We start from the raw sequence: 14962 nt of genomic DNA, 5'->3' as shown, positions 1-14962 counted from the left end.
TGTCAACACCCTCCTCAGAGGGCACATGCCTTGTGAGTGAGAGTGATGGAGCTCCGCCAGCAGCCATGCTCTCCACCCTCCTCACGGGGAAAGGCTGCTCTTTACTGGCCAGCCCTCTGGAAATGTCCCTCTGAGTCACTCTTAACAAGACAGGAGAAAGCAGTTTCCTGCTTTCACGCCTTCCCTTTTTTCTTTTCTCTCTTCCTTCCTTCTTCCGTTCCTCTTCCTTCCCTCCCTCTTGACCTTCCTCTCTCCCTCCCTTCTTTCCTTCCTTCCTGTGGCTCTCCTTTGTGAGTGACCTACCTCCGCTTCCTACTCTGTGACTTTGCACATTCAATCATTGCCTGGCTCCACCAGCAGTATATAAGGTGAAAGAGGATCCTGCCAGCTGTTCTAGGCCCAGAGGACACCTCTCTCTCTCTCTCTGTCACTCACACACACACACACACACACACACACTCTCTCTCTCTCTCTCACACACACCCACTTATTGATGGGGTAATAGGATCAAGAGGTAGCTTTGCATCATCAAAAAGAAGTCAGTCATTCTAGCCTGGAGCTTTAGAAGACGAAGTAAAAAAGAAGTCAGACAGTCCTAGCTTTGAATCCTGGCCCAGCCACTTACTAGGTGGGAGACCTTGGGTAAGTCACTTAACCTCTCTGAGCTTCTGTTTCCTTCCTTGGGTGTAGAATGGGGATAAGAAGCCTGCAAGAGCAGAATAAGGATTCAAAGCTATATAGTAGGTGCTCACTAAATAGTAGATATTTGTATGATTTGAAACTGTCCATAATTGTTCCTGTAGGCTTTAAGAAGAAAACACCCAGAAATGAGTTGTATCATCTGAGTTTGTGATGGATGCATATTGGTAGGAAATAAGTGAGACAATATTTCAGAAATTGGCATAAGGCCATGGGAGGTCCAGCTCAGAGATCACTTTGGACTGGTCTTGGCTTACAACCCACTGAAAACCAACTCACTGAGGTTCATTTATTGGGAGGTTGATTATAGTTAATTAATAAACTAGGATTGAAATAGGCCTATTTTTAGTACTGCTATTTTTTTTTTTTTTTTTGAGATGGAGTCTCACTCCATCACCCAGGCTGGAGTACAGTGGCACAATCTTGGCTCACCACAACCTCTGCCTCCCAGGTACAAGCGATTCTCCTGCCTCAGCCTCCCAAGTAGCTGGGACTACAGGTGTGTGCCACCACACCTGGCTAATTTTGTATTTTTAGTAGAGACTGGGTTTTACCATGTTGGCCAGGCTGGTCTCAAACTCCTGACCTCATGATCCGCCTGCCTCGGCCTCCAATTTTTTTTGAGACAGAGTCTTGCACTGTTGCCCAGGCTGGAGTGCAGTGGCACAAACATGGCTCACTGCAGCCTCGACCTCCCCAGGCTCAAGCAATCCTCTCACCTCAGCCTTCTGAGTAGCTGGGACCACAGGCATGTACCAGCACAGCCGGCATATTTTTAAATTTTTTGTAGAGATGAGGTTTCGTCATGTTGTCCAGGCTGGTCTCAAACTCCTGGGCTCAAGCAGTCCTCCCGCCTCGGCCTCCCAAAGTGCTGGAATCCCAGGCATGAGCCACTGTGCCCCGCCAAGTTTTGGCACCACCAGACTCCAGACTGCTGTCCAGAACTTGTGCTCTGCTCTGCATTTTTTCCTAGCCTTGTCTGCCATCATAATGTTCATTTCCACATTCCATTTGCTCTCAGCTGACTGTAAATAACGCCAAGAAGCAACCTGGCATACAAACCCCTCCGAAGGGATTAATAACTGTTAATAATAATACCAGAAAGCAAGCACTTTACAGAATATATTATTCCTAATCCATATCATAATTCTACATGATAGTTTCCTTTTCTCTATACTTTCATACAGATGAGGAAACTGAGGCTGAAACAGGCAATTAATTTGTGCAGGTGGCACGTTTACTACATGGTGGAACCAGGATCTGAACTCAAATTTGTCTGTGAATGTTTTCAGAATATTCACCTACATGTTGCCCAAAGTCAAGGCTGCCCTGGGGCAGTGTGTATACCTGAATGACAATCAGTACAGGCACTGAGGGAAGGGAGAACCGATGCTGGAGAGGCAAGCATAACTGCCACTGTTAACTTTGTGACCAAACTTCATGTCTTGTGGCCTAAAGGACAATCGTATCCCTTCTGGGGGAATTTCCCCACCTCCATGTTGAAGCCAAGGATGACTAGTACTCCATGGAAAAGAGGTCAACATGATAACCAGGAGATGTGGTCATGGGGCATTAAAAGGTTCGAAGCTGTTCCAGAAAGGATGTCATTGATGTGGAATACAGGTGAGCCACTTGGTCCTCAAGGGAGTGCCAGGGAGGAGAGTAAACACCACCTGGCAGGCCAGGTGTGGTGACTCACTCCTGTAATCCCAGCACTTTGGGAGGCCGAGGTGGGTGGATCACCTGAGGTCAGGAGTTTGAGACCAGCCTGGCCAACATGGAGAAACCCCGTCTCCACTAAAAATAAAAAATTATCCAGGTGTGGTGGTGCATGCCTGTAGTCCTAGCTGCTTGGGAGGCTGAGGCACAAGGATTGCTTGAACCCAAGAGGTGGAGGTTGCAGTGAGCCAAGATCATGCCAGTGCATTCCAGCCAAAACAAAACAAACAAAAGACCACATGGCAGTGAGGAGGCTCCCATAGTGATCCCAAGCAACGTGTGTTCCATCCCTGTGGCCTGCTAAGTGAGGTTTCCAGCAATTCAGTTGAGGCTGCTGGCCAGCCGGGGCTTCTGTTATTGGTGCCCACACCATTTGGTTGGCCCCTCCAGGAGAAAGGCCTGAGGAGCCTGGGGACTTGTACGATGTAGCTTGGTGGCCAGGAGGGTGGGTGCCTGTGTCAGAGCGCTTGAGCCAGATCCTGAATCTGCTACTCACAAGGAGTGTGAGTCTGGATACATTGATAAACCCTTCTGTAAATGCAAATAATTTCTTAATCTGTCAAATGTGAATCATAATTGTACCTATACTTTATTGGATCGTGGGAAGATTAAAAGGGTTAATATATGGAAACACTTAATACAGAGCCTATACGTAATAAACACCCAATAAATGTAAGCTTTTAATATCTTTTTGGTTTCTTTATATATTAAAGTATAGTGGTTTTCAACTGGGGACAATTTTGCCCCCCACACCGCTGTCACCCCCACATTTGGTTGTTATAACTGGGGGGTGAGTGCTACTGGTTTCTAATGGGTAGAGCTCAGAAATGTTGCTAAACATCCTCAATGCACAGGACAGCCTCCCATCGAAAGGAATTACCTGGTTTAAAATGTCTGTAGTGCTAAGGTTCATAAAAACCAAACCATGTGGATCTTCCATTGTTCACCAAGAAGTTGGTGAGATATTTGATCCAACCACGAGACTGGGAAGAGATTCAAGAGGTTAGTAAAAAGCGTCTTTGGTATAAATAAGTGGGGCTGTACCCCACATCATTTTGACCCAATTCTCAAATTCCACTTTCAGGATTGGTTAATTTGTTCCATGTATTATCAAGCAATAGGTGACAACTTGGAGATCACTAGCATTCTGGAAAACCAATGGACAGCAACAAGGAAATAAAATAAACCATATTAGTTCCTAAGGTTCAGCTTTGCTCCTTGCATGTATGGACATCTCCACCACTGATGGGTTTACTCATCATACTTGCAGAAAACTTTATAAAATTCTATTTGCGTGACTTTGTCCAAGATATTTTCTCTACCTGAAATTTTCTGTTCTCCTTGCACCCTCACCCAACCCTAACTCCCCACACCCCCACCCCATCTCTTGACTACTGAAATTGACATTTTTTTTTTTTTTTTGAGACAGAGTCTGACTCTGTCGCCCAGGCTGGAGTGCAGTGCTGTGATCTCAGCTCACTGCATCCTCTGCCTCCTGAGTTCAAGTGATTCTCCCACCTCAGCCTCCGAGTAGCTGGGATTACGGGCACCCGCCACCATGCCTGGCTAAGTTTTTGTGTGTTTTTGGTAAAGATGGGGTTTCAGCATATTGGCCAGGCTGGTCTGGAACTCTTGACCTCAGGTGATCCACCCACCTCAGACTCCCGAAGTGTTGGGATTACAGGCATGAGCCACTGAGCCCGGCCTAAAATTTTATTCAGCTTTTAACATCTGCTTCCTGCTTCACCTCCTCCAACTTTACTGCAGTTGGGAATTTTCTCTCCTTTTCTGAACTCCTCAGTCATGGTCTGATCACACCTTGCCTTAAATTGAAGTTATTTGTGAATATGTCTTTCTCCCCGACCTACCTGAGAGCTTTTCCATGCAAAGACTTTGTCTTTTTCTTCTTTGTATCTTCCAGAGCTTCTAATGTTGAGGCTCAGCATGTGCTTGAGTAAATGAGTGAATGAATGGGCCCCCACAGAAATACTCCCTCATTGCAAGCCAAATTCAAGTCACGTGCAAGCCAGGGAGACCTGTGCCCAGGCGCAGGCCCTGGTTAGGCATTTCTATAGTACCACACATCTCTGATGAAGCCATTTTCTCTTGGATTCCCTGGGAAAACATCCCAGGCATGTACAATAAAGGTCACCCCTCTGGGCAGTGGAGTGTCTAGCTGAATTTATGTTTCTACTCTCAAATGCCACAAAGCTAAAGTATAAATAGGGTGGGGCCTAGAAATAAGAGGAGATTGTGGTGTGAATGCCAGCAATTTAGAGCATTGAGCCCCCTGCCCTTGATGCAGCCAAAGGGCACTGCCCACTCTCTATAGGACTGTTGTTAAGGGCCAAAGGGTGTCATGTGAGTGTCAAAGGAAAGTTCGCATTTCCATGGAAGGCCCAGGGGCCAAGAGAGAGGTCAGGAGCGTCTGTAGGGCTTTTGTCTGACTGTTCTTTGTTCAAACCCACATGTGGCCCTATGTTGATCTCACAGCTCTCTGCATGTGTTGCTGGGTGGATGAGAATGCTGTGCAGCTGGACCCTGAGTAATGGTTCCGGCCTTCAACAAGCTCTGCAGAGAAGCTAGTTTAGACAGGGCTGCATTCTCCTCTCAATTTCCAATTTGGCAAAGGAAACTGCATATTCATCAAGTCAGAGGAGAGTTAAGGGCGTTGCCACCAAGTTCCTCTCCCTTCCCACATGTGTAAGTCATGAAGGAAAAGTTCTGACAGTGTTTTTCTGTGATGCCAATTCATGGCTTAGGTGTGTCAATGCCAGCCTAGTTCCTGGTACAGGGTTGGTATTATTTTTAAACTGTGTATTATGGAAAATTCTAAGTATGTACACAGGTAGATGAATACGCAAGATTTCAAACATCTAAAACAGTGCTTATCACTCAACTTCAACAGTTATGAACTCATGGTTAACATTGTTTTACACACACCCCCACTCACTTCTGTCACCTCATTTGCATTATTTGGAAGCAAATTCCAGACATCATATAATTTTCTCTGTAAGCAGTTATGTATGAACATCTAAAAGAGAACTAATTTTTTTAAAGGCACAATACCATAATCACATTTAAAAAATAACAACAAATCCTTAATCTCATCAAATATCCAGCCAGTGTTCAAATATTAATTTCTCATAAATGTCATAATTCCTTTTAAAAAGTGTCCTTATTTGATTCAGGATCCAAATAAGGCCCACACGTTGTGATTGGTTGCTGTGTCTCATTATGTTTCTTTTGATCTATAGATTCCACTCTCTCTCCCACTCTCTTTCTCTCTTTTAGTACCCTTGAAGAAACCAGACTGTTGGTCATGTAGATTTTCTCACAGTCTGGAGTTTTCTGACTGCAACCCTGTGGTGTCATTTTACTTGTTGCTCTGTTCTCTGTTCTTTCTGTAAATTGGTAGTTGGATCTTGGGCTTGATATGCTTCAGGTTTGGTCTTTTAAAAATTTTTTGGTAAGATTGCTTCATAGATGGTGGCATATTCTTCCATCAGGAAGTATGTAATATTTGGTTTCTCTCTTTTGTGATACTAGCAGCTGTTAATGATCAATTTCTAGATCCATTAATTCATTAGAAATTGCAAAATGGTAATGGTGGTATTCTAATTCAACCATTCCTTTTTCATTTTTAACTGTAATACTTCCATAAAGAGAAGAGGAACTTCTCCTTTTCTGTTACTTGGTTACCCAGTACAATTGTTCATATAGAAAAGGCAGGACAAATGCTCAATTTTTTTTTCTTATTTACCAGTATTCTTAAAAAAAGGATTCACTAGCCACCTTCAAGGGTGGCCAATTATTATCTTTTAGAATCATCATGAACTCATGATTTAAACGTATTTGATGCATTTTAGTCTATTGCAATTACTGTCATTGATTTTCAAATTACCTCATCTTTGGCCAGTGGGAATCTAAGTTGGCTCTTTAGTCTTTTGATACAATTCTGGTAGTTTTTGATAACTTCCTTGCTATCTACTATGACAAGGTATTCCAGGCACATCTTGTACATTTCCTGTTCTAAATGTGTAACCAACCATCTATCCAAAGAATCCTTGTTCCTTTTAGTGAGAAATGGCATTTCTGGAGCTCACTCTGGGCCCTGGGGGTGCTGTATGCTAACTAGGCAGCCATTGGTGCTAGGCCTTTTTGGTAGACAGAACTAGGAAATATGTTTATGTCTTAAGATAACATCCAACATCAGTTCATATTGATATTTCCAATTCAAATTCAGAATTGCAGGGATTTTGCTTAATGTCTTCAATCCTATATTTCCTTTCTCTCAAAGTTGAGAATCTTCATTTTTAAAGACACTGGGAATTATAGATTATTACATAATTATGCATTTGTTCTATCATAAAACACACACACATGCGCATCTCAGAAAAACTACCAACATTTTCCCCAACAATATAATTCCTGAAAAGAGTTTAAGTGGTTTTTGTTTATGTAGTTATTGTCCCTATTGTATATAGGGACTTGCAGTCAAGTTGAAGGTTTAAGTCTCATGGAATAATTCCCCTCTGTGTGGCTGTGCAAACTATATTCATGTTTAGGATAATTTATTTCATTTTATTTTCTGGAATTCCTTTTTTAAAATATAATTTTTTGGTAATTACAAAAAATATTTACGTGGTTCCAAAGTCAAATCTACCAAAACATATTTAGTGTGGCTTCTATTCAGATCTCCTCCATTATTTCCTCCTGTCTGTTAAAAGTAATCATTGACTTTAAAATTTTATTATTTATTCTTCTTTTTGTTTTTTTAAATGCACTACACACATACGTTTCCTTTTCTCAGATATATATATATATACGTATATATAGACAATTTTCTCTACTTTATTTATTTAGCTTATTATATCTTGAAAATCATTCCATAGTGGTATATACAGATACTTTTTCTTCCCTTTTCTAATGTGTGTATATGATGGGACTCAACCAGTCCCTTTATGGTGAACATTGGAGTTATTTCACCTTTGCTGGCAAAAAATAATACTAGTCGGTTACCTTTTTTTCAACAATATATGTTTGGATTAGATTCCTGAAAATTAGGTTGTTGGATTCAGAGTAGCTTGTTGTTGTTTTAAAACAATCTCAAATTTAAACTATAGTACAAAGAACATATTTTTTCTACACCATTTGAGAGCAAGTTGCTCTCAAATGTCCCATCACCAGTGGATATGTTAGTGTGTATTCCCATAAACAATGACATTCGCCCATGTAACTGCAATACAACTATCAAAATCAGGAAATTAATGTTGGTACAATTCTACCTTTTAATCTTTGGACCCCATTCAACCTTTACTGATAATGTCCTTTAAAGCAAAAGTATCCATTTTAGATTCATGCATTGCATTTTTGTTTGACAGAGACATCTCTAGTCTCTGTCATTTTGAAACAGCTCTCTCTTTCCTTTACTTTCATGATGTTTATGTGTTTGATGATTACAAATCAGTTATTTATTGCATGTTCCTCAGTTTGGGTTCATATTGGTTTGTTTTTTTTTTTAAAGTTGTGTAGGATTAATGTTGATCATGTTCTACTTAAATTAGTCTCAGGACCTTGGCTGAAGGGGTGGGCCAGGATAAAGGGAGAGAACTATCTCCACAAGTGAGGGGCCCATCCCCTTTGGAAATGTGTTTATCTTACTGTACACAAAGGGTCGGGGTCTTTTTCATGGAGAGTGCGAGTGTGGGGAAGGAAGCTGAATCCCCAGGAAGTTCTGTCAGATAAGAAATCTGTGACTCTGTAAATTCATCTACTTCTGTGTTTTTGTATTGCTCCTCCTTAGCTTCCTCCTTAATTTCAGTACAATTATTTGAGGGGGAAAAAATCCCAGCTTTGTTTCAGCTGAAATAAAGGGAAAGGAATTGGTCAAGAGGGCTGGTTAAGAGAGGGCTGCCCAAGGCCAAGTAGGGTGAGTCCATAGCAAGCACTGGATGGGTAGCTACTAAGTAGACAGAGTTAAGAGCTCCTCTTTCTCCCCTCATACGCTCGTCCCTCTGCTATAGGACCTACCGTATTGAAACTGTTGTGTTTTTCTTCTCCAAGGAACTGTGGATGCCTCCTGAATGGGAGCTGCAAACGATTATCAGAGTCAAGCAAGAGGAATGGCAAGGCATGTGCTGAATAACATCACATTAATATGGCTCTTAGCTACCTAACCCATTAGGAGCCATAATTAGGAGAGTTTGAAACAGACTGCAAGCATCTTCTCCAGAAAGAAGCTAGGTAAGGGCACACATTGATATGGAAGGAAAGGGGTGGGAGTATCTGTAAGAAGGACCTGGTGAGGGGTGTTTCTACTTGATGGGGTTTTTTTTTGTTTTTTTTTTTTTGTTTTGTTTTGTTTTGGTTTGGTTTTGTTTTTTTTTTTTTTTTTTTGAGACGGAGTCTCGCTCTGTCACCCAGGCTGGAGTGCAGTGGCGCGATCTCGGCTCACTGCAAGCTCCGCCTCCCAGGTTCACGCCATTCTCCTGCCTCAGCCTCCTGAGTGGCTGGGACTACAGGCGCCCGCCACTATGCCCGGCTAATTTTTTGTATTTTTTTAGTAGAGATGGGGTTTCACCGTGTTAGCCAAGATGGTCTCGATCTCCTGACCTCGTGATCCGCCTGCCTCGGCCTCCCAAAGTGCTAGGATTACAGGCGTGAGCCACCACGCCCGGCCTTTTTTTTTTTTTTTTTTTTTTTTTCTGATAACAGATCTCGCTCTGTCACCCGGGCTGGAGTGCAGAGCTGTGATCATGGCTCACTGAAGCCTTGACCTCTCAGGCTCAAGTGATCCTCCTACCTCAGACTCTCATGTAGCTGGGACTACAGGCATGTGCCACCACACCCAGCTAATTTTTAAATTTTTTGTAGAGATAGAGTCTCCTTATGTTGTCCAGGCAGGTCTCAAACTCCTGGCATCAAGTGAACCTCCTGCGCTGGCCTCCCAAAGTGCTGGGATTACAGGCATGAGCCACTGTGCCCAGCCTGATGCTTTTTTTTGTCTGGTTTTTTTTTTTTAAAGATCTCTCAGCAGAGTAATTTTATTTAAACTGAACTTGAAGAGAGAAGGAAGAGAATGGAAAGCAGGAAGTTAAAGGTTTGTGATTGATTTCAAGTACAGGATGCAGGAGCCCTCAGAGGGGCCTAGTTAGCCAGTACTCCCAGGAGCCCCTGCAGCCCAAATCTAGCCAGGCTTAACCCTGGGACGATAATCTGAGCCTACCTGACAGGTTGACATTTTGGTGAGGCATGGAGCAATTTACTTTAGCTGCATTGGTTTTCTTTTCTAGGGGCCGGGTGCGGAGGGGTGGGGGCGGGTAGGGGTGGTGAGGAGGAGTAAAACCACACATCCTTAGTTTAATCAAGGTGTTTGTGGTACTAAAGACAGAGCAGACATGATTTCCCCTAAGGAGGAATGGTGGTAGTTTGGGGGATGCTGTCTGTGTGTGTCTGAATTGGGCCAGAGCCCTCAAATAGACTGAGTCCTTTTGTTACTTGGCAGGAACTCCAATCCACTCATCAAGGAAAAATCAAGGTGCACCTTCAAACAACAGCTTTGAGATAATCTCAAAGATTTAAAAGTCAATATTTGCTTATAGGAACTCTATGTACATTCCAGACACTTCATACTTGGGCCTTTTAAAATACCTTCTTTCTGATAGGGTCTAGCTTGGAGCTCACCACTAACCAGAAGGTCTCCATTTTTCCATCCTCCATCCCATTCTTTGGACTAAGCATTATTATATTTAGCCCTCTAATGATTGGTATCAGCTTATAGTTGGAGTTGTCTTGATGAGAGAGTTTCTTGGCATGATTCTGTTTATTGGCTTATCATTTTATGAACTGGAGAGAAACAGCACAATTAGTGGAACTTCTAGATAAAAAAGATTTTGTTAAAACACTTGAAATTTAAAAGCCCTTTTTGCTTTGTAATGAGTTCTTTGAAAGATAATCTGTTTGGAGCCCTATGGGGTTTCCAAAGAAACATGCAGCTTTGAGGGCAAATGCTCTCTGTCTCCTGGTCCCACAAGCGCACATTTCTCAGCCCGCACATTTCTCAGCCCGCACATTTCTCAGCCCGCACATTTCTCATCCCGCACTCTAGCTGGACTCTTCTGCTTCCTAATGCAGTAATCAGATATTTTGGTGGAGGAAGTTTTAAAGCCTAATCATGCTGTAGTGAGGAAGGTGGGATTTCTTTCATTGCCTGCAACTCAAGGGCACATTTTCCTCAAAAACCATGTATTATATTTTGGCTTCTCACGAGATGCCCAACCCATTGCTATGAAAGGGCCCCCAGTCTCTGCCCTTGGGGAGGTTACCATCCAGAGCAGAGGAGAGGCAGCCAGCCAAATAATTTACACGTGTGGTAATTGCAGTAAACTTTTACTAGTGTTGTCAGTACATTCAACACATTTATTACATTTATTGAGCTCAGTGACTGGGAACACAAAGACAAATACCAACACGCATCCAATCTATGCCACATGCTCTCATTGTGCCATTACTTTTTTAGTTTGGTCTCACCAAGCAATGAAAAAAAAAAAGAAAAAAAACACTGCCAATTGTAACATAAATGCACCCTGATTTCAGAGACATTAAAAAGTGGAAATTCTGTATCTTTGAATGAGATACAGCAATCCCTTCCAGATTCATCCTGGAAGACAGGTAGGGAAACAATCACAAAGCAAGGTAAGAAGCCCTGTTAGAGAGGTCTGAACAAAATTAGGAGTTGGTCCAGAGCCAGGAACACCTGATGCTTCCTAAGAAGGAAGGTGGTAGGCTTCACAGAGGAGGCGACATTTGGACAAGATCTTAAAGAATGAATAAGGGGAAGGGAAGGATGGGAGGGAAGACAGCCAAAGATTGGTTAATGGATACAAAAATACAGCTAGATAGGAGGAATAAGTTCTAGTGTTCTAATAGCAATATAGGGTGAGTATAATTAACAACTATTTATTGTATATGTTTAAGTAGCTAGAAGAGCAGATTTTGAAAGTTCTCAACACAAAGAAGTGATAAATGTTTGAGGTGATGGATGGATATGCTAATTATCCTGATTCGATCATTACACATTGCATACATGTATCTAAATTTCACACTGCACCCCATAAATACATACAACTATTATGTATCAATAATAATAAAAGCAAAAAAAAAAAGTAGATTCGTGATGCCTAGGATTGGGGAGGGGGAAGGGGGATGGAGAGTGACAAAAATGTTTTGGACTTAGACTATAGTGATGACTGTATAACTCTGTGAGTATACCAAAGCCATTGAATTGGACACTTTAATGGGTGATTTTTATGGTATGTGATTTATATTTCAATAAAAATGTTCTTCGCAAAGTTGAAATTAAATAAAAAGAATGAATAAGGATTTGCAGGTGGAGAAGATAGGGCATTCCAGGCTGAGGAAATTACATGTGCAAAGGCAAAGAGAAACAATAATCTTATTCAGGACTTCAGCTGTATCTCTCAGTTTAATGTTCACAATAATATAAGTTAGGTTGTATTATTACTTCTTTTTTGTAGAGAAGGAAACTGTAGGCACAGTGTTAGTAATTTGCCCAAGATCTCTTGGCTGGTAGTCAAGAAATATTAGCTATTGTTATGATTTCAGTACAGTCATTTGGGCCATTGTACTAGAGCTGTGCTATTCAATATGGCAGCTTAAAATGTGGCTAGTACAAATTGAGGTATGCAGTAAGAAAAAAAATACACACCAGATTTTAGAGACTTAGTACTCAAAAAGAAGATGTAAAATATCTCACTAATTTTTAAAAATGTTAAGTACACGTTAAAATGACAATATTTTGGATATATTTGGTTAACACGTATATTATTAAAGTTAATTTCATGCTACTCTTTACAACGTTTTCTGGGAAAAGAGTTAATTCCAACTGTTTCTTTCCATTTTTTTTTTTTTGTAATTGAGTTACCAGAAAGATGTTAAATTACATCCATGGTTTATGTGATATTTCTGTTGGTCAACACTGTTCTAGAGCATTCTGCTATGAATTGGCTTGGTGAGGGTAAAAGGTGTGTGAGGGCAAAGGAATGTATTTGCACCCACGTTCTCTGCACTCTGCTGCTGGCATCTCTGTGTGCCTCACCTCACTTGTGGGTGCCTCCCTGTCACCTGGCCTCTGAGGTTAAGTAGGTTGCCCCAGGCTCCATGGCTGCAAGTGGTAGAGCTGGGCTTTGAACGCAGGTAGCCTAGCTCCAGAGCCTGCCTTTGAGTTCCAGAAATGTGAGTGATTTTAGGTAGTGACATTCAGCACGTGGAGAGTGGGGTCAGCTTGTGAATGTATTACCCCTTTCAGGAAGCATGCATGTGCACATTTCCAGAGGCCTCTGAGGAGTGAGTGAAATGCTGGGAATTTCTGGCATCAGTGGCAAGGTCTCCAGGAAATACCTTCCATCCTAAAGCAGTCTCCTGTGAAATCTGAGCTGCTTGCACATTGCGTTCCAGGGCCACCAGCTTTTGGCCTGTACTAGTGAAATTCTGCCTGAAGCCTAAGTCCCGAGCAAGGATCCAAGCTCCTTTGTACCCTAAACCTGCCTGCCTGTTAGAACATCACTGTTCTAAAATCGGCCTCACCCTCCATCCAGCCACACACATCCTGGCTCTCATTCTACCCCATGCACTTCTATGCACCCTAGCCTTTCCTCTATGCTCCCACTCAGCTTATTTGATATTTCTTGTCTTGCCCACAAGGCCAACTCATCCTTGAAGACCCAGCTCACACATCACCCTCTCTACAGCCTTCCCTAACTCCTTTAAGATAAAATCTATCACTCCCTCCTCTGTTCCACATTGTAATTCCAGATAACTATTTGTCTATGTCTCTGTGGCCCCCGCTTGATGATGTGCTCCACCTGGGCAGTGGCAGCATCCTGCCTGTCCTAGTCTATCCTAGCAGTGCCTAGTAAGTGTCTGCACACATAAGATGCTCAACACCTGCTCTGGAACTGAATTAGATGGAATCACATTTAAACAACTGAAGGAGAAGGATGACAGCTCGCTCACAATTGGAATTCCCCTTTGCAAATCCTCAGGGAGACTAATTGCTCCTGCTCTTGGCCTGTCTGTTAAAATGCAGGATTAAAAAGAGAAACAGGTAGCAGGTTTTTTTGTTGTGTTTTGTTTTGTTGTTTTTTTTTTAACTTCTGAAATGAGTATTACAGAAGAAAATCATGCAGGAGGAAAACCATGATAACTCATCAGCATGATTCAGCAATGGGGCACACTTCAGAGGAAAGGAAGATTGGTTTTGCTCATAGGCTCTTTATCTGTGAAACGCAATCACTCTCCCTCACTGGTGTTTCATGCTCTGACGTCTTATGGTTTGAGGCACGATCAGGGGCCTATTTCTGTGACACCTGAAGGCTTTACACTTGCTTCTTTTGCTTCTCACAGCAGCCTCATAGAGTGCAGTGAATTTTTTCAATATTTTCATTGGTCTTACAGTTTTGTCTTATAGATTTGCAACTTGTGACAACTTTTCCCACCTTCACATGGTTTGATGATTTCCCTTCACACCTACTACTAATGGTTACAATGCTCTGGATCACGCCTCGTGAATCATCGGTGTCTGTCCTCCCCTACCACAGCCAGGTGCTGACAGTAACAACTAGGTGCCGGCAGTATTTTAAAGATGGCAGTATGGCCTGGAGGACATGCCACAGGCCCTGAAAAGGAACCTTGAGTTGGACCCAAGAGCCAGTCCCCCAGAGGTCAGGTGCACCAGAGGTCAGGATCCCTCCCTTGCCTCACAGGGATACCCTGACCACTCTGCTCCCACTCCCCATCTCTCACTGAAGGATTCATGTCTGATATGTGTGGATGAGTTATCCTCCCACGGGTGATCCTGCCCCACCAAAATCAAAGTGACTCTTATTCTAAGAAGCAAAAATTTGACCTCACAAACACACTGCTGTTTCATCCGAGGAGCCTACCCCATCCCCTGAAATAATATTTTGCACAAAACTTTCAATTAATTTACTACAATGTCCAGCAAAGATCCAGCACTTTAAAGCCGGATGACTCAACAGGAAGAGCTTTCAGTTTTCTTCCTGATTGTAAGTTTGTAGCCTAAATTTTTGAGTAGGTACAATTTAGAGAAGGAAGGCTGCCTTCTGCTCAGGATAAACAGGAAATTTGCCTATACAGTCAGTGTGAAGAGCTGTGTAGTAGAATGATCTGCCGATATTTAGCTTCTATTATAGTGTTCTCCTCATTCTTCCTTCTCCATCTCCCCCTCCAGCTTCTCTTCTCTACTAAAAAAGGTGTCAGAAAGTCTGGGAATACAGACTGTCCTAAAGCACTGCAAGTAGTTCCCTCCTCCTGACGGCAATAGAGCCCCCTAGAGACCATCCGGGTGACCAGTATGAAGAAGTCGGTGGGTAGCCCTATTTGTTGGAAGTGAGAAATAATGAGAACTTTTTATGTTTCAAAGATGGAATAGGAAAAGTTGTCAGACCTGCAATGTAATAGTCCCAGGGGATGAAGAGTATACAGAAGTTTGGGGTCTATA

At 42.4% G+C, this 14962-nt stretch overlaps 1 long non-coding RNA gene across 2 annotated transcripts in view, besides 1 other annotated feature; it reads left to right on the top strand.

Annotated features, from left to right (window-relative positions):
* The first annotated feature begins 541 nt into the window (after positions 1-541).
* Positions 542-14962, top strand: part of LOC102723436 (uncharacterized) — a 50981-nt gene continuing 36560 nt past the window's right edge. The window contains exons 1-3 of one of the 2 annotated variants that reach the window (XR_007066219.1): positions 542-642; positions 1887-2322; positions 8485-8664. This is a non-coding gene — a long non-coding RNA (uncharacterized LOC102723436). The remainder of the gene's footprint in view (positions 643-1886; positions 2323-8484; positions 8665-14962) is intronic. The other variant, XR_007066220.1, reaches the window with a different exon arrangement.
* Positions 13920-14079: an enhancer, noted in NCBI's record as "active region_1305". NCBI's record gives its function as "activates an Ori minimal core promoter by ATAC-STARR-seq in GM12878 lymphoblastoid cells {active_cell/tissue: GM12878}" and the evidence as "EXISTENCE:reporter gene assay evidence [ECO:0000049][PMID:35858748]".

Source organism: Homo sapiens, chromosome 1 (genome assembly GCF_000001405.40).
Source record: "Homo sapiens chromosome 1, GRCh38.p14 Primary Assembly".
Taxonomy (NCBI): domain Eukaryota; kingdom Metazoa; phylum Chordata; class Mammalia; order Primates; family Hominidae; genus Homo; species Homo sapiens.
The sequence above is the reverse complement of the archived record's forward strand: the minus strand, read 5'-3'. Positions and strand labels throughout refer to the sequence as shown.